This window comes from Homo sapiens, chromosome 7 (assembly GCF_000001405.40).
Source record: "Homo sapiens chromosome 7, GRCh38.p14 Primary Assembly".
NCBI lineage: Eukaryota > Metazoa > Chordata > Mammalia > Primates > Hominidae > Homo > Homo sapiens.
This window is the reverse complement of record NC_000007.14, coordinates 156,467,644-156,487,109: the sequence shown is the minus strand read 5'-3', so window position 1 is coordinate 156,487,109 and position 19,466 is coordinate 156,467,644. Positions and strand designations below refer to the sequence as shown.

Genomic DNA, 19,466 nt, shown 5'->3' with positions numbered 1-19,466 from the left:
GCTTACAGTAAGCTCTGCCTCCCGGGTTCGAGCAATTCTCTTGCCTCAGCCTCCCAAGTAGCTGAGATTACAGGCATATGCCACCATGTCTGGCTAAGTTTTGCATTTTTAGCAGAGACGGGGTTTTGCCATGTTGGCCAGGCTGGTCTTGAACTCCTGGCCTCAAGTGATTCACCTGCTTCTGCCTCCCAAAGTGCTGAGATTACAGGCGTAAGCCACCACACCTGGCCAGAAAAAATTTAAATTTCCGTCAGAATGTTTTGACCCATCTGCACTTCCGTCAGTATTTCATGAGCATGCCTATACTCTAGACCACTGAGTTTTTCTTTTAAAAATATGTATTATTAATTTTCTCTGATTACAAAATCAATGCATATTTGTAAAAGCACCCATTCACTTTCCCTGCTCAATATCTCAGCGTTCGAGGCACAAAGACACCCAACTCAGTGAAGCAGGGTGGAGGGGAGAAGGGGGTGGGGGCAATGTCCTCCGCAGAGCATGGGTCTGCACACAGCTGGGGCTGGAAGGGTGGGTGGCTGGCCAGCGGCATGAGCCTCACTTTTAGGCTTTCTGAATGAGTATTCTGGATAAAGGGACACTTTGATTTCATGAATCTTTTTCTTCCTATAAGCACAGTAGAGACCCTGCGTTTAAAATGCTGGTTGAAATTAATCAGACAATTACAGCATCTCTGTATTGTAGCCTCTGTATTCTATCCATGATGTTGTCTGGGCTTTCCCTCCAGACCATCAAAATGTGGCACCGATGGATATGCAGCCGTAAGAGAATGCCTGCCGGGTCCCCCACACCAGCTCCGTGCAGCAGATAGTAGGGTCTTCATTTTATCCGCATGCGAAACACTCAGGTCATGGAGTTGTCTCAGGGCACATAGCTGATAATTTTCAAAGCTGGGATTTGAATCCCACCCGGGGCTGAAACAACTGCCCACGTGTGTGGGTTGGGAGCCAGTGACCTCGACCCTGCCTGAAAATTATCGACCCAAGCTGGAAAATTATCAGCGTGAGGCACAGTTTTCACATACTTTAGTCAGTTAAAAGAAAATTTAAAAGAGCTATCAGACAATCAGACCTATATATTTTGGATGGATTGGTAATATATTTGCATCCTTTGCAGTGGGAAAACCTGCTTGAAGAAAAGAAATGGCAAGATCATGACCTGGTTACCGGACTGGAACTGAGTGCTCCGTGGAACTGAGGCCTCTCTTCCTCTTGCACTTCTGCAGGATAGGAAGGGGATGCTTTGAGTTGGCTTGGCCTGTGTCTCCTTCCTTGTTTGATTGACATGGGCGGGCCATCCTGTTATATGTCCCACCTCTGTTTGCTTCCTGTCTTTGGACCATTCAGTGATTCTCAAGTTGGGCTGCATGTGAGCATCATTTGGGATTTTTCTTTAAATTTCAAAGCCTAGGTTTCACCCCAGTGCAATTAAATCAGACTCCCTAGGGTGGAGCTCTGGCAGTAGCCTTTAAAAAACCCGCAGAAAAGATTTGGTGATTCCAGTCCACAGCCAAGATTGCGGAACCACTGGTCTATGTCGGTTCCCTTCCTTATTGATGCTATGTGTTCTGGCAAAGTTGGGTGTAATGTGAATTTTGGGGAAAGAATTTCTTGCACTTTGTTGTGATTAAACTCAGAACAAATAACTATAAAAAGTATTAGCCACTAAACTGAGTTGACAGTCTTTGGTAAATTAAGCAGTTAAAGTTGGTGACATTCTAAACATTTTTGTTGCACTTTGAAAACGTGGGTGTATATCCTATATACTGGGTTCTATTTGTTGTCCTCTATCTCTTCTTTCTCTTCTACCACAGAGTCATCTCCTAGATAAGTATCTCCTGACACTCACTTACAGCCCTCTCTATTTAGCTTTTCTCTCCTTTTATTTATGGTTGGCACAGAATAAAGTCACAATATCCTACTTTCTTGGCTGGTACTGTCTTACTCTTAGGCATGATATTTTATAGCCTGAAAATGCGTAAATTCTGAATCTAAGTTTCAATGTCTTTTTTGCTAATCCATTGATGATCGATTTTTGAGGTCTCTTCAACAGCACTCCAGCCTATGGGGATGGGAGGAGAGGTGTGGGTGCTGGGACTGTTGGGGTTTTGCAGGGACCATCTGTCAGCCTCTCCACTTGACGACTGAGGATATGGAGGCCTAGAGAGATCAAGGAACTTGTCCAAGTTCATAAATCAACCAATTTCGTTACCTGAGTGTGGATATAAAGTACTGATGACAGAAGGGTTTGAAATTGAACTGAAATGAGGTTTCTGGATTACCCGTGGGCTTCAATTACCTGATCTATCTCTTTCTCGCTGTGGGACAGGTATTCTGTGATTTTATGTAATGAAGGTTCTTTTTGAAATGGGCTCGACCCAGAGGAAAATGGCAAAATGAATAGCATGCTAATGGATTTTGTGGGTTTGTTTTGTAGATGAAAGTCTAATTTTGGGTTTTGGGATAACTATATCAACATGCCATTCTATCTCATCATTATTGCTCCTTGTTTAGAAAAAAATTTGATAAATTGGAAATTTTAGGCTTGAAAGAAGAAGCTTGAATGAGACAGAATACTGATTTACACGTAACTTACATAGCCTGAGGGGGAAAATTCAGTAATGTAGAAATAAATTAAGAAATGAGGGCTGGGCACGGTGGCTCACGCCTGTAGTCCCAGCACTTTGGGAGGCCAAGGCAGGCAGATCACTTGAGGTGGGGAGTTCGAGACTAGCCTGGCCAATGTGGTAAAACCCCATCTCTATTAAAAATACAAAAATTAGCTGGGCATGGTGGCACACGCCTGTAATCTCAGCTACTCAGGAGGCTGAGGCAGGAGAATCGCTTGAACCTTGGAGATGGAGGTTGCAGTGAGCAGCGATCACACCACTGCACTCCAGCCTGGGTGACAGAGCAAGACTCTGTCTCACAAAAAGAAACAAAACAAAACAAAACAAAACACAACTGAGATGACATCAACATAAATTAAGAAATGATTATTTGTGTTATTCCAGTAACTGTTGGAATTACTGAAGGGCAATCTCTCCATGCTTCTGAAGCTGGGATACCTGATACACTGAGGCACTTTGAGAAGCTGAGAGAGGACGATCGCTAACATTTGCTGAGTGCTTGCTGCTCCCAGGCTGTTCCCATCTCAGCTGCCTCCCACACCTTGCGTCTTTCCAGGCTTCTGGGATTCTGAATGTTTCTGAACACAGTAAACCGTCTCCTGCCTTGGGGTCTTGGCACGTATGCCTCCTGGCCATGTGTCTTTCTTGCTCTCTGCGTGGTCTCCCCTCATTCCCTTCTCAGTGTGTCTCTCCCCACCCTATCTGGATCTACGTCATGCCCCCTTCTCCCTCCCCCTCCTGTCTCCCCCTCCTCCTGTCTCCCCTCTCAGAGAACAGCATCACCTAACCCATGAAACCCAGGCCTCAGCACGGCACTTCCCATAGCGAGTGGATTACCACGCCCTCTTCATGTGACCCCTAAGCACCTCTCCAATCTGCTCACCTCTGGCCTATACCTGAGTCTCTGCTCTTGGCGTCTGTCATGTATGCTGGACGATTTTCTCCCAGCTGCTTTGCCTGCTCCTATTCTTCTAGAAATATGTGGATAATGGTGAGATTTAGCTGTTACTGCATAGAGCCGCTATCCATCCATTTGCAGCTGCATAACATTCCTTTATGTGACTCTGCCACAATTTGTCCATTCCCCAACTGAGAACACCGGAATTGTTTCTTTGACTATTGCAGACTCTCCTGCTATTCACACACTGAATGCTTCTTCAGGTGCAGGCGTGAGGCTTTCTCTGGGATATGTACCCTGAGGTGGGATTGTTGTGTCTAGGCAAACCCTCACCTTCACAACATGATAACAAGTTGCTTTCCAAAGAGGTTGTGCAAGTTTCTCTCTGTGATTCAAGGGTCCACATGCTCTCTAAACTTTGGTATTGTCAGAACTCTTAACTTTTGCTTGTAGAGTAGACATAGAGTGGGTCTCACTGTGCTCCGTTTACATGCAGCTGATGACCAGTGAGACTAATGTCTTTTCCCATGTGGACTGGATTTTCCCTATGGCCAGTTCTATCTTTGGAGTCAATACTGGCTTTATTTCTTCCTTTCCAAGCCTCTGACTTTAACACATTCCAGCTTCCTTATAGCGTTACCTCTGATGTCCGGGGCGGTGCTGACGGCAGCCACTGGGCCTATCTGGCCTGGGCCTGATTTGGAGGGAATGTTCCTTCCACGGTTTTCTCATGAAGAACGATGTTCATGGGAAGTATTTCATACACACTCTGCCAGACTGAAGACGTGTCCTTCTATTCCTAGCTTGGATGATGTTTGATGAGATCAAATGTGTTTTCTCCATTTGAGATAACCAGGTAATACTCTTTCTTTTTCTTTCTTTCTTTCTTTCTTTCTCTTTCTTTCTTTCTTTCTTTCTTTCTTTCTTTCTTTCTTTCTTTCTTTCTTTCTTTCTTTCTTTTCTTTCTTTCTTTTTCTTTCTCTCTCTCTCTTTCTTTCTTTCTTCTCCTTCCTTCCTCTTTCTCTTTCTTTCTTTCTTTTTCTTTCTCTTTCTCTCTCTCTCTTTCTCTTTCTATTTTGAGACAGAGTCTCACTCTGTCACCCAGCCTGGAGCGCAGTGGTGTGATCCAGCTCACAGCAACCTCTGCCTCCCAGGCTCAATCGATTCTCCTGCCTCAACCTCCCAAGTAGCTGGGATTACAGGCACCTGCTACCATGTCAGAATAATTTTTGTACTTTTAGTAGAGACAGGGTTTCATCATGTTGGCCAGGCTGGTTTTGAACTCCTGACCTCAGGTGATCCACCCTCTTCGGCTTCTCAAAGTGCTGGGATTACAGGCATGAGCCACCGTGCCCAGCCTACTCTTCTTTAATCTTTTGATATGATGAATGAAGTTCATGAATTTTCAAATATTAGAACACTCTTGAATTTCTAAAATAAATCAAACATGGCCATGGCATGAGGTATTTTCTTATTCACTGCTGGGGCCGATTCACTAATATTTCGTTTAGGATTTTGGCATGTATATTCATGAATAAGGTTAGTCTTGCCTCAATTCAACAGGAAGGTTACACTACCCTCATGGAATAAGGTGGAGATAGTCCTCTTTTTATTCCCTAGAAAAATAAGATTGCATGAGATTGCAATGACCTGTTTCCTGAAAATTTGTTAGGACTCACTTGTAAAAACTATCTTGCTTTGTGTTTTCTTTCTAGGAAAACCCTTAACTATGGCTTTGGTTTCTTTAATAGTGAACAGATTCTTCAGGAATTCTATTTATATTCAAGTTCTTCTAAGTTATACTATAAAAAGTTATCTTTGTCCACGTGTTCCCATTTTTGGCATTAAATCATTTTAAGAATTATATCTGGCATCCTGTTTCTTTACTCATGACTAACATTTCTTTGTTGTATCTTCTGTCTTTTTCTGTATCCGTTTCTCCAGAAGTTTTCCTATTAACTCTTTCCAAAGAACCTGTTGATGGTCTTCAGATTCCTGGAGGCATTTAGGGAGGGAGCAAGTTTGGGAGAGGAGTGAATTCACCTGGGCTGCAGCCCACTGCTGAGGACAGACCCTCCAGGGATACAGGTGTCAAGTCCATCAATGGGCTCTGACCCACTGGAGAAAGGGCAGCATCAACCATTGGCCAGGCTGCGGGACCAAAGCTGACTTATGATGGTGTCATCGGGTAAGACCTCGCCTGCCCTTGGATCTCTCCTGCCTCCCACAGCCCCTTGAACCCCAACAAGAAAGACATACTTGGTGGTGGCTGATGGCATCAGGCACCTAAGCTGCCAGCTGGAGGAGGAGCGTCATGAACCGTGGAGCTGCAGCAGGAGCTGGGTGGCCATAGCGGCCTTGGTGGGGTGGCAAAGGTCGATTTATTCAGGGCAGAGTTTTTGGTGTCTGGAGCAGACTGGGCATTTTAAATTGCTGACTTTGGATGCATTTGTTGACTTCACGTGGCCAAAGCGCTTCTTATTTCCTGGGACTGATTAGAAAATGTATACGTCCCACCTGGGTTTTCATCCAGGGACAGAGAGTGTCCAGAGAACAGGTTTAAAAGGGACAGTAGGAAACAAGCCAAAGCTGTCTCAGGTTACATCCAGAGCACCTGCCTGCTCCTCACGCAGCTCCTCAGACGTCTCCACCTAATCACAGAATGACGGAGCCTCACGTTTCCTCTCATGGCCACCAACGCCGTGGGGCAGCCAACTTAAAGAATGTCTTCACTTCAAGATGGGATACAGCCTGAAAACACGAGCAGCGAGTGTAAAATGGGTGGAAGAGGTATGGCTAAGCCTTTCGAGGTTGGCACTGGGACAGCAGTGGCACCTCCTCCTGACACATCTCTGAAGGTGAAGGCTGGGCTTCCACGGAGCATGCGGATGCCTAACGTGGTGTGTTTTCTTACTTTTTCGTGAGTGAGGTTGAATTTACTATTTTCCCTGGCCCGCGCTGTTTCATTTCTGAGGGTGCTTTTGCGACAGTGTCTGCTATGGAGCAGTCTATCAGCAAGGATGATGTGTTATCTCTCCAAAAGCTCAGATGCTTGGCATATGTCTGCACAATTTAAACATTAGTAACCAATTAGCTGCACAGAACCCATTTTTATTTTAAAAATGTCCTACCATTATTTCATTCCCTACTTTAGGAAATTTTGGAACTCCCAAATAAATAGCAGTCAGATATTTTGAATGATAGTGTCTCCGACAGGAAACTAGCCCGAGAAGTTCTTTACCCACTAAGAACATCTCTAAGTCACCCTGCAGATTCTGTTTCTATGTCTTAGAATATCTTTTCCCCTAGGGATTCTGCAGTAGCTTGTGCACCCTTATTTGGAAGAAGCACTTGCCAGAAAGTGAACCGGGTAAAGTACAACTCAATTCTCCTTCACCCTTCTTAGAACCTCATGTGTCCTGGAATGGAGCTTATTGGCTGTTACTTGGGTTTGGGATTCCCTTTTGAGCAATTCTCTATCTCTGGAAACTTTCAGAATCGCATTCCCTAGCCATCTAAACATACACACACACGCACACTCTTACACACTCATCATTGTGACACTGAAAGGGCTGAGTGTCTGACCACACGCTTCAAGTGTTCAAGATAACTATCCCCACCCCAACCTCCCCCTTCTCTCTCTCTTCCTTCTTTCCTCCCTCTGTCTTCATCTCCTTCTCTCTCTCTCCCCTCCTCTTTCTTTTTCTTGTTTCACTAGCCCAGCCATTATGCCTCTACTTGCCCAAGAGAGTGTCATTTAAAACACTGTCAGTAAGAGCTGCACGTTATTACTTAATTTGGGGGATATTGCTACATCCTTTGCTTTAAGGGAAGTGTTAACTGATGTTACAGTGCTAATGATACAGGTCTGCCTCTCCCAAAAGAATTATAGATCAATAAATTACAGGGTGAATTATAGAACAATTATAAAATAATTTACTACAGTGTTCCTTCAAGGGTTGATATAATAGATTTAATTTATAAAGCTTTGTTTTTTCCCTCTTTTCATAACTATTGAGTAAAACAACAGTAGCAGTCATGATGGCGAGTATTATATTCCAGTGAATATCCAACGATACCACCAATCAGTAATTCCATGCTTAACTTGTGGGGAACAAGCTATTCTCCATAGCAGCTGTACCACTCTGCATTCCTGCTGCACTGTGTGAGGACCTCCATTCTCCATGTCCTCACCGACACTTCTTTCCCAGTTTTTGATTATAGCATCCTAGTGGGTGTGAGGTGCTATCTTACTGTGGTTTTGATTTGCATTTTCCTAATGAGTAATGACATTGAGCATCTTTTTATTGTGAATTACATAAAATTGGAATGGAAAAATAAATAAGAACTGTAGATGCAGCATTTTTTTTTCTCTCTCTCACTTTAAATTGATTTCCCTCCCTCTCTCTGTCAACACACACACCCCTGAGATGGCAGACCTTTTGGCTAGAAGGGCTCTGTGGGGGTCGTTTAATCCACACCCTCGGCTCAGGGGGCCCAATTCAACACACATTTGTTGGGTGCTGGGCCCTGCTGGGCCCCACAGTGATGCAGAAACAAGATAGGCTCGGTTCATGCCCTCAGAATTGACAGCCTAGTGAGGAGAAAGCCCTCCAACCGGAGTCACACAGATAAGCAAGGAGGTGAGTGTGCAGCACACAGGTCAGCTGTGGACCAGGGTGGGGCACAGGCCTCTGTAGGAGCACATAGGCAGTCGCATGGCCTGCCTGGTGGGTCAGAGAGGGCTGCTCTTGGGGGTGACTCTCAGGCTCTGACACCTCCGAGACAGCTGGGGCTGGGGGTGGGGGCAGCCCTGGCAAAGGTGCCAAGGCCCGCAGCGGGCAGGGAGGACGTGGTGGGTGCTGGAGGACACAAGGATGAGCTCGGCTGGCAGCCCCGAGGCTGGCATGTGAATTGCAAGGCAAGGGGAGCCGGCAGCTGGGGAGGGTGGCTGGGATGAACGGACCTCAGGCAGCAGGAACGTCTGACCCAGGAGGCCTGCCTCGGGCTGGGCAGCACCCAGGGCTTCCTCACCTCCTGAAGTCACTGCCTCCAGGGTCAGCAGAGGCAGAGCTACCAAGCCCTGGTCCAAGGCCCTGACCTGGGGTTCCTGGGTGAGCCACTGGACTCCCTGTGCCTCAGTTTCTTTACTGGGACATGAAGAAGTAGTTTAGGACCATTATAGCCTTCCCACCCTGCCATTCGGAGAATCTCTGAGGCCGTCGTCCGAAGCGTCACTATCAAACACAACTTTGTTACCTCCTTTATCCTCACTTCCATCTCAGTCCTCCTGGCTCGTCCCTCACAGAAAAGAATTTTCTCAAGAATTCAGGCTTGGACAACATGGGATCCAAAGATGGATCTTTTCAGATCTTTTGTCCATTTTTAAAAATTGGGTTGTTTTCTTACTATTAGGTTGTTTGAGTTCCTTATGTATTTTGGGGACTAACCCTTTATCAGATGCACAGTTTTGCAATATTTTCTCCCATTCTTAAGTTGTCTCTTCACTCTGTCGATTGTTTCTTTTGCTGTATGGAAGCTTTTTAGTTTGATGCATTCCGATTTGTCTGTGTTCGCTTTTGTTGCATGTGCTTTGAGGTCATATCCAAGAAATCACTGCAGACGCCCATGCCTTGGAGTTTCCCCCTGTGTTTCCTTCCAGTAGTTTCATAGTTTTGGGTCTTACAGTTAAATCTTTAATCCATTTTAAGTAGGTTTTTCACATGGTGGGAGACAAGGATCTAGTTTTATTCTTCTGCATGTGGCTATCCAGTTTTCCCAATATCATTTTTTGAAGAGACTCTCCTCTCTCCATTGGGTGTTCTTGGCATGTTTGCTAAATATCACCTGGCTATAAACACACAGATTTATTTCTAGGCTTTCTATTCTGTTCTATTTGTCTGTGTGTCTGTTTTTGTGCTAGCACCATGCTCTTTTAATTACTATAGCTGTGTAGTATATTTTGAAGTCAGGTAATGTGATGCCTCCAGCTTTGCTCTTTTTGCTCAGGATAACGTTGGCTGTTCTTTTGTGGTTCCATATAAATTATATATTTTCTATTTCTGTGAAGAATATCGTTGATATTTTGATGGGGATTATATTGAATCTGTAGATCACTTTTGGGTCATACGGATATTTTAACAATATTATTCTTCCAATCCATGAACATGAATATCTTTTTATTTCCTTTTTAGTGTCTTTCATCAATGTTTTATAGTTTTCAGTGTAGAGATATTACACCTCCTTGGTTAAATTTATTTCTAATTATTTTATTTTTTGTAGCTATTGTAAATGGTGTTGTTTTCCTCATTGCTTTTTCCAATATTTCCCTATTAGTGTACAAAAAGGCTCCTGATGTTTGTATGTTGATTTTGTATCCTGAAACTTTACTGAATTCATTTATTAGTTCTAATAGTTTTTTGATGGAGTCTTTAGGGTTTTCCATAGATATGATCATGTTGTCTGCTAACAACAATAATTTAACTTCTTCCCTTCCAATTTGAATGTCTTTTCTTTCTTTCTCTTGCCTAATTGCTTTGGCTAGGATTTCCAGTACTACATTGAGTAGAAGTGGTGAGCGTGGACATCCTTGTCTTGTTTCTGATCTTAGAGGAAAAGCTTTGAGCTTTCCCCTGCTGAAGTTTCTTGAGAAGGAGAGTGACATACATTTCACAAAGGAAAGCAAACCCTTGTGGTCACAGACAGGGATTCTGGGCTGGGAGCCCTGTGCACTTCCCCACGGTGTTCTTGGGACCTGAGAGAGGCTGCCTGATCATGAACCTACTGCTGGACGAAGCTTTAAAAATCATACAGAAACATGGATGATGCCCCCCAAAGTTAAAAATGAGGTGGACTTATAGGTAGTTGAAGACTGCAAAGCCTCTCAATATAATTTTCTGAAGCCCTTTTTGTAATACCCATGCTAAACCTTCCTGTTGTCCGTGCTTTTCCCCATGCAGGGACGTGCTGTGGGCAGGGGTTGGAGATAGAAATGGATTGACTTTGGCTCCATGACTCGCTCACTGGGGAAGTTGTAAGCTGGTTGCTTGGAGGAGACAGAGGGCTTTGCAGAGAGAAAAACCTGGTGTGGATTTTTGGTGCTCTCAAAGCCATGTTGGATTCAAACTCATTAACCACTCTTCCCACCTCCTCTAGTGGAATCTGGCACCATGAGAGATGGACACAGAGTGGTTTCTTTTGGAGGAGAAGGAAGGTGGGATTTGGGATTCTCCTCTGCCTGAGTAGGGCATTGATGGGACCCTGAGGACACAAAGCATGGGTGTCTCCCATGTGGACCCTATAAGTTGGGGGGATGGCAGTGTGCCCACTTGCTGTCTTCAGGTCCTAGGCCACGTGCCCTTCCCTTCCTGTTCTTCCTTCTTCCCTTCTCACGGCCTCTCCTGGTCTCCATCTCTTCTTGTTGTTTTCTTTCCTTCTCTCTCATCTGCTTGTGCATTTGTGCATTCATTCCATCAGCGTTTACTGAGCACCTTGTACCAGGCAAGCATGCGAACTCTGCCCTCAAGAGCCTGCAGCCCAGGGCTCAGGACACATCAATGAGGTTGATCAGGCATGAAATAAGATCAAAATGGAGGAAGGAGCTGCTTGAGCATGGGGGGGTGGGGTGGAGGCAGGGCTGGCCCTGTTTAGGGACTTGAGGACACTCCTGGGAGGAGCTGGCTTTGGGCTGAGTCATCCAGATGAGTAGGAGTCTGCCAAGTGGACAGGCATTCCAGAAAGGCACATTGCACGTGGGAAGCAAGGGAAATGGGCCAGGCCACGTCCTGAAAGAATTAGGTTTGTTATTCCTGGGGCAGTAAGCAGCTCTGAGGTTGTCAAGCGACGGAGCTCAGTGTGGCAGGAGCATGGGGAGTGGTGGGGATGAGCCTGTGGGCCATCCATCCTGTAGACGTGGGACTGCAGTCTATGGTTGGTTTATAGCTCAAGGGAGATGCCAGACCTGTTGTACAGACTAACAGATAACTGCCAGTGACCAGCTGCCTTGGGGACATTGCTTCTGACGTTCCTTGTATGGGTTTCTTGTAACCCTCATAGCAACCCTGCACAGAGTGCATGATTGGCTCCATTATAGGAACGAGAAAGCCAAGGGTCAGAGAGGTGGAGTCAGTCATCTGAGGTTAGCACCTGGCCAGTGGGTGACGTGAGGCTGAGAAGCCTGACATGCTTCCTCCTTCATGCCAGCACCCCCCTCCGTGTGTGGTGAGCCGCAGGGATTGAGTGTGGACAGTGGTAGTAGTGTGTGGTGTGTGGCTGCATGGCTGTGGCTGGAGGATGTGGTGGACTTGAAGTGTTCATTAGCATTGGCTGCTCTCAGCCTTCTCAGTTAAACATGCACAAGCCTGCTGTCTGTCACTGATTGCCGTCTCCTCGAGCCTGTGCTGAGGTGTAGGTTCACATGGCCATGCAGACGTGGGTTGCAGAGCAGGCAGAGCTGGGTGGGATTCCAGCTCCATCATGTTCCCGCTCAATGGCTTTACCTTTTTTGCTCAGTTTCCTCATCTTTAAAGTGAAGGGAATAATAGCGTCTACCTTAAAGAGTTTTTAGATAAATCACTTAAAACATAGCAATTATGTAACAACTGCCAACAAGTACTAGTTATCATCATTGGACACTGTAAAATGTTTAGTGTCCAAACCTATAAAATAGCTCCTAAATTGAATGATCTCATGGTCTAGCTGGGAAAATAATGTGTAATTCAAAAATAAAAATAAAAATGTCAATTCTGTACAGAAATTCCCAAATGAATGTGTAGAATCTACTATCCGCACCAAGGAACGTGGAGAGATCACAACTTGGAGCCCCTGCAGAAAGTGTTTAGGGAAACAATGGGACTTGAACGGGAGCCTGGAGGCTTTAGGTAATGAGAGAGGAAGGGAGAGAATATTCTAGAAAGGAAGAATACCAGGTGAGAAGGTTTATGATGTATTTGGAAGCCACCTCCTGTGCCAGTCGGGCTGAAATACTGAGTTTGTGTGGAAGAATATGGGGTGAACCATGGAGAAAACTGATGAAATAAGATGGTGGGTCAGCATCATCCCAGAAGCCAACTACTGCTTGGAGAAGAGTTAACTCAGTGGCTGTCTGTACGATGAACTGAAGTCAAGAAGAAATTAGAAGCAAGGATGAAACAAGCGAAGTAAACCCTTCTATGTTTAACCACAACTTTGTAAACGCAGTGACTCATCTCCATTCATGGGTGTCAGCTTGGTTCTGAGCATGCAGATGAATGTATCCAACCAGGGCTGAGGAAGCCGGGTTGACCCTGAGCTTTGGCCTTTTAGTTCCGTTCCTTTGCAGGCAGATACAACTAGGAAACGAGGCCCATATTTTGAGAAGTAAAAATATTCTACTCTGAGATCTTTGCAGTTTTATTTCCCTAATTATTTTGGATAATCAACATTTTCATTTTTTTTTTCCAATTTTCAAATCAACTTTAGATTTAGCCCCTTAAATATATCTTTTAGGAAGTAGCATCTTGTTGCCTTAGGAACAGTGTTTGAAAAAGTTCTCATTTGTGCTGTACACTTCAATGATAAAGAAAGTTCACTGGCATCCCCCTGTGGAAAATGCTTTTATCATTTAAAAAAACATATGCACATAGAAAGAGTTAGTAGAAGTCACTATGTTGTAAGAGCCCAGGGTTGGTATTAGCAGAACTTAATGTATTCTCTCTCAAAATAAGATCATTGTTGGAAAAACTATAAATAATTTTCAAGTTTATTTTCAGATTGAGTTTGTTGTTAGTAGCACTTTAGGATTTACTGTGATGAAAGACAACGGTTGTGTTTTTAAAAAGTGTTCCCCACTTGGACTAACAAAGGGACTCAGCACTGCAGCCTCGATGGAACGTTCTTTCTCTGTGCAGGCACCAGATGGCGCCAAGCCGCAGGTCCTTCACCTGGATTAGTTCATTATTTTAAAAAAGAATTTGGGAATTATGGCTGCTGGCATTCAGGGCTCACTAAAATTTGTGTAATGTTTCCAGCTGTGGATAGAAGCGTCAAACGCTATGTTTAATATGTTTTTCCGGAATTTATTCTCATCAGTGGCTGGAATTGGAAGGCCATCTTCCCTCTCAATTCTTGACTTTGGAGGGAAGTGAGGGAAGCAGCTTTCTGCTTAGGCTGTCCTGGGCAAAATCTGGATATCTGCACCACCTTCCTTACAGTTTTTCTGTTGTGCTTCCCTTTAACCTGTGTAAAAGTGATTTACTAGGAGTAACTTACACTAAAGTGTCAGTGACTTATTTCACTAGAGGAATAGTCACAAAAAATAATGTCAGATGCAAAGGGTTAGGTTGCTAGAGGATTTTTAACTCTCAGTGACAAGGCAGTTCAGAAACTATGTTTAAGATTTACATTTACTTTTTTACCTCTAACCTTACTAATACTGTTTTTATGTGAACAGATAATAAAAACATATGACATTTTGTATGATGAATTTTTCTTACCAAGGCAAATTTGGTTTTGGATGTTTTCACAAGAGTAGTAAAATTAAGATTAGCCACGCTGAGCTCACAATGAACAAAAAAAAATAGTTTTTGGAGGTTTGATTTGAACTCTGAGAGGAACAGCGTAAGAAATAGAACAGGAAAAGACCTCCGAATATCCAGGAATGTTGTAATTGACATATTTGAATCTGAAAACACTGTTTATCCTTGCGGCTAATGCAGGGTAATATACACTGCCAATGCTTAAAACAAACGGGGTAAATGCCACTGCTGAAATTACAGCTTCTGCTTACATTCTTTCAGCTTATCCTTTATTTTTATAAAAATATTCCTCTTGCTGAACATATATTTTGAGATTAAGCAGTGTCTTTTCTTTCTCAGGGAAGAATATTTCTCAGCCCTCCGTTCTCAAGACAGATGAGTGCTTTAGAAAGAGGACTCTGCAGCGGTGAGGAGGATGGAATGACAGGCAAAGCACGCAGGACCAGGAGATGGCTTCGTTCCCTCAATCACTCATCCAAAGACGTTTAATGAGCACCTATTGTGTGTCAGGCATTGTACCGGGCAATGGGGATATCGTAGTCAGTAATAAGTGAGGAGAGATGAGTTCATTTGTGAGAGGCTCTGACCAGTGGAATCAGAGGAAGGGAGTTCCCCTGGGTGGGCCAGGTTCAAAGACATTTTGGAAGTAGAATCTGCAGAACATGATGATCTTTTGGAAACAGGGCAGGGACGTGAATGAGCACGTAATGTCCCCATGGGTTTGTCTTTCCGAAGGTTTAAAATCCTCAAGAATAAGGAACATAGGCATGTGTCGTAACGGTCTCCACAGTGGGGGAGTATTATGTTAGTGCACCTGCATGTTAACTCTGCTCATGAAGGGGCCACGTCTTCACCACCACAAAGCCTCAAGCATGCATATCTGGTCCCTCCAACCCCCTCCCTATTGAGGTGCAATAAAGGCCCATGTTTCTCCTAGTATGGGAACAGAACTAAGTCCTTTGTTCTATTATTTGACATGTATTGACTCAAGCATTCGATGAGTATTGATGAAGTGTGTTCTAAGCTTGTACCGGGCTAGGTCTTCTACTGCAATCCCCACGCTTATAAACCTTGCCAACCTGAGCCACCTGCAAGCTTTCTGACCTTGGGCGTCCTCATCTCTTCACCTCCACTGGTAAAGATGAGCTAACTGGTAAAGATGAGCTATGGAAAGAACGTGGAGTAGTCCTCGGCACATAGTAGGAATTTAGTGAATATCAGTTCTCTTCATTCACAAGCACTTAATAGGCCAGGTACTGGAACAAAAGACAAATCAGATGGAAAGAGGCTCATACTGCATCCCGGCCTGGCAGAATGAGAGCGGCTCCTGGAACCGGGATTCCACGTCAGCTTTCAGCTTTTTTTCTGCTTTTTCCTTCTTCTCAGGCCTTTCAGGATTTGGTTCTTGTTTTAAAGCTTCTGACGGAGAGAGCCAAGTAGCCTGTCCTTGCTCTACGGGCTGGGAAGCAATGAGTGATTGCTGAAGAGGCTTTTTCTCAGCAAAGGGCAGAGGCAAAGGAGAGAAGAAAGGAAGGGCCCTGTGCTGTGAAGCAATTTTCTCATTTTCTGCTGCTGGTGCTTGCGTTGTTGTCTTCCTCAACATGCAGGGGAGGCCCAGAGAGGCACTGCTACGGGTTCCAGACATTCCTTGTATTCTCACTGCCTGGCTCTGTCCTCAACCACTTACTTTCGGTGTTAGCGGTGAGTCTCAAAGGAACATTGTGCTGAACTGTTCTCCATCTCAACTACATGATCCTGCAGCCCTCAGGATGAAGGGTTTCGGTCTTTGATTCCGGCGACCTGGAGGCTTGCTTACTGTCAACTCCATGCGGAGAACTGTAGAAAACAGGATAAAGACGAAGACTAGGCCGAGCCGTCCAAGGCAGTGAGTCCACAGTAAGTGGGGCGAGTTAGGCCGTTTCCGCACTGCTATAAAGAAATACCTGAGGTTGGGTAATTTAGAAAGAAAAGAGGTTTAATTGGCTCATGACTCTGTAGGCTGCACAGGAAGCATGGTGCAGGCATCTGCTGGGCTTCTGGGGAGGCCTCAGGAAACATCATCATGGCAGAAGGTGAAGGGGAAGCAGGCGGGTCTTAATGGCGGGAGCAGGAGCAGGAGAGCGGGGAGCTGCCACACACGTTCAAACGACCAGATCTCGTGAGAGCTCCCTCACTATCACGAGAACAGCACCGGGGACGGTGCTAAACCACTCATGAGAAACCACCCCTGTGATCCAGTCACCTCCCACCAGGCCCCACCTCCAACACTGGAGATAGCATTTCAATGTGAGGTTTGGCAGAGACACACATCCCAACTATAGAAAGTGGGCAGGATGGCTGGAGCGGCAAGTGTGGGGAGATGAGGGAGGGTGTCTGAGGGCACTGGAGGCCGCCGGAGGGCAGCCGCGGATGAGGGGAGCTGAGCTGGGCTCGTGGAGGCGGGGTTTCTGTTGACCCGGATGGAGAGACTGGGCGGGCCCGGCCCCAGCCATCCCTGCTAGTCCGCTGAACTGTGGCCTGGGAAGTGGCTTTTCTGTTGGGCCACATTAGTGCTGTTGAGTTCAAGGCTGAGAGCACAGGAAGAATCCTGAGAAGCCTTTTGTGGGGGCCCATCCCGTCCAGGGCCCGTGCATGAGCAGCTGTCATCTGCATGCCATGATGACCGTCACTGTCAGGACCGAGACATCCTTGCGGCCCCACAGGTCGCCACCCTCCTGGCACAGCACACCTGCCAGTCATTTGGTCTTTGCCCGGGTGTCTCGCTGGGACCTACAGTTCAGGTGAAACATCATCACATAGAAACCACTGCAGAGAAATTTCGTAGAGTGCAGTGTCCCTCCAGCTCAGTGAACAACAGTTGATGTTAGGTGATCCTTGGCAAAAATGCTTCATCTTAATCAGAGAACACCTCGTTCTTAGAAGCTCTGTATAGCAGTTTACTTCATAAGCTGGAAGGGCCTTAGAGCTGACCGATCTTTGCTGAGTTTTGTGATTTTTCTACTCTGCTATCCTGACTTTGCCTCTTACCACTTTAAGAATTCCAACCATTCCAGCCAGGAAAACTCACTTCAGCTCCTCAGCTACCAACAGCAAAGACACACATAGAGCTGCCCTCAGATCCCAGAGAAGGAGAAACGTTTGCATGGTGCCCTCTTGTTCTCCTGGGTACAAAGTGTTTCATTTTAATTACTAATTTACCGTAGGAACCCAGGGATTCGTGTATTGCCTCACTTTGTCTTGCAGATCACGAATGTGGTTTTAACAGTTTATTTGTTACGACAAAATTCCATTTTAAGAGAACCTGTAGAATTTTTTTTGGTTTTATTTGTAGGGATTTAGACCATATAATGAGTCCCTTTATAAATGGGTTTAGATAACACAGCGCAGGAGTAGCTTTTGTCTCCAACAGACTGGAGGAATAATAAAATGTAGTCACTACTAAATTATGTCATGGACTGAAGTAGATTTTTACCATTAATTGGATCTAGGCCCTCTGACCTTTTTGCAGGAAGCAAACTAAAGGTATAATAATTTTTACAACGATGAGCTTTCTGCACTTCCAGTAATTTTTTTTTAGAACACTGAAATAATTTCTGGACATTGAAAGAACTCTGACATACTGTTCTTGAGATAAACAGAGCTTTGAATTTCAAGGTTGTCACATTTTTCTTTCTCCATACCCTCTGCCCCCACAAAGTGAAGATAATACAGGTAAATGAACTCAAAGATAACCTGCATTCAGGAACAAAAATCTAATTGAATCACATTTATATTTCTACTGGTCAAGTTTTAAAATGATCTCATTCAGTGTCTTCCCAAGAATATCAAGATAAACAGAAGCAGATTACAACATTTGGCAAATCTAAATGTATATATTCAGTGGCATTTTTTTTTCTTCTGAGATTAAATACTTTTTATAAAACTCAGAAAACTCTGAAACTAAAATTTTGAAAGGAGGCTAAAAAAATGGGAAACTCCAGAAGGGCTTTCCAGGTAATACAGGATGGAGAAGCAAGAGAAAGTTGTAGATGGGTGTTACTGTTGATTTCATATTTCAGTTTATTTTTGCTTTTTCACTTCTGTCTATTTTGCATGTTCTTTGCCCCACATGTTGGTGGGGCCACTATTGTTCTTACCAGCTCCGCTAAACACTGTCTGTTGGTTCAAGATTTTTATCATTTTTAAAATGATGCTTACAAGTCAATTGATAGAACGGAACAAATACTGTGGGTGATTCACAGTCTGTCATTACCATGCTGAAAAGGGAGACTTTTCTGAGTTTAATAATAGGAGGGCTGGGTCAAATGCTAGGTCCGTAAGAGCTGCTTAGTAAAATTTTTCTCTTTTTTTTTTGAGACAGAGTTTTGCTCTTGTCGTCCAGGCTGGAGTGCAGTGGCATGATCCCGGCTCACTGCAACCTCTGCCTCCCGGGTTCAAAAAATTCTCCTGCCTCAGCCTCTGGAGTAGTTGGGATTATAGGCGTGCACCACCATGCCCGGGTAATTTTTGTGTTTTTAGTAGAGATGGAGTTTCACCATGTTGGCCAGGGTGGTCTCAAACTCCTGACCTCAGGTGATCCACCCGCCTTGGCCTCCCAAAGTGCTCGGATTACAGGCGTGAGCCACCACGCACGGCCTGCTTAGTAAATTTTTTAGTGACAGTTTAACCCAGCTAAAGACTATACAAAGAAAAGAAACTTTCCCAGTACCGTGCGCTGCATCCTGCTCTCTGAAGGTGGAGAGGGCGTTGGAGCTTCGGTTTGAACCACTTGACAGAACCCATCAGATCACTGTTCAGTTTTTTTTTATCAATTTAATTAAGAAAACCAAATAATTTAACCTTTAGATGTGAAATAATTGCCTTGGGATAATAGTATAGAATCTCTCATTTAAGGACTATTGTATGAAAGGTTAGAGCTAATCATTTTGTTTTAGAATTTAATATGCAAAAAGTATGTGTCTCTTGGACATATACTTATATCCATGTATTTTATGAAATTATTTCCAAGACATGGATGCATCTTTTTTCTATGCCTTCTTTGTGCAGCTGCGGAAAGATAATTAGCAACATATAGAAAGTATTTTGAAAGTAGAGACGTGACAAGCAATCACTCATACTTCTGCCGAACTGTCTCAGGCTGTTTATAAGTGGGGTCAACAACATGTTGACGACATGGTTGAATGCTTTATTTGAAGTAAAGATGTGTGATCTTTGAATGAAGTTATTAATGATGTGACAGAAATCTTGAAAACCTCTCATTTCAATGGGAAACGACAGTCAAAGCCTTGTACTAACAAGTCAGTTGCCAGGACGCAGCTTGGAGCACAAGATATTGCACCTGTGGATGTTGGCTGCAGCAATATGAAGTAGGAAAAGCATTAACGCTGCGAATCTCAGTCTTTCTGCC

General features: G+C 44.4%; 1 long non-coding RNA gene across 2 annotated transcripts in view; it reads left to right on the top strand.

The window, feature by feature from the left end:
- The window catches only part of RNF32-DT (RNF32 divergent transcript), a 168,437-nt gene extending 153,426 nt beyond the window's left edge, over window positions 1-15,011 (top strand). The window contains exons 3-4 of one of the 2 annotated variants that reach the window (NR_026865.2): window positions 5,490-6,445; window positions 14,399-15,011. This is a non-coding gene — a long non-coding RNA (RNF32 divergent transcript). The remainder of the gene's footprint in view (window positions 1-5,489; window positions 6,446-14,398) is intronic. The other variant, NR_103858.1, reaches the window with a different exon arrangement.
- The last annotated feature ends 4,455 nt before the right edge of the window (window positions 15,012-19,466 follow it).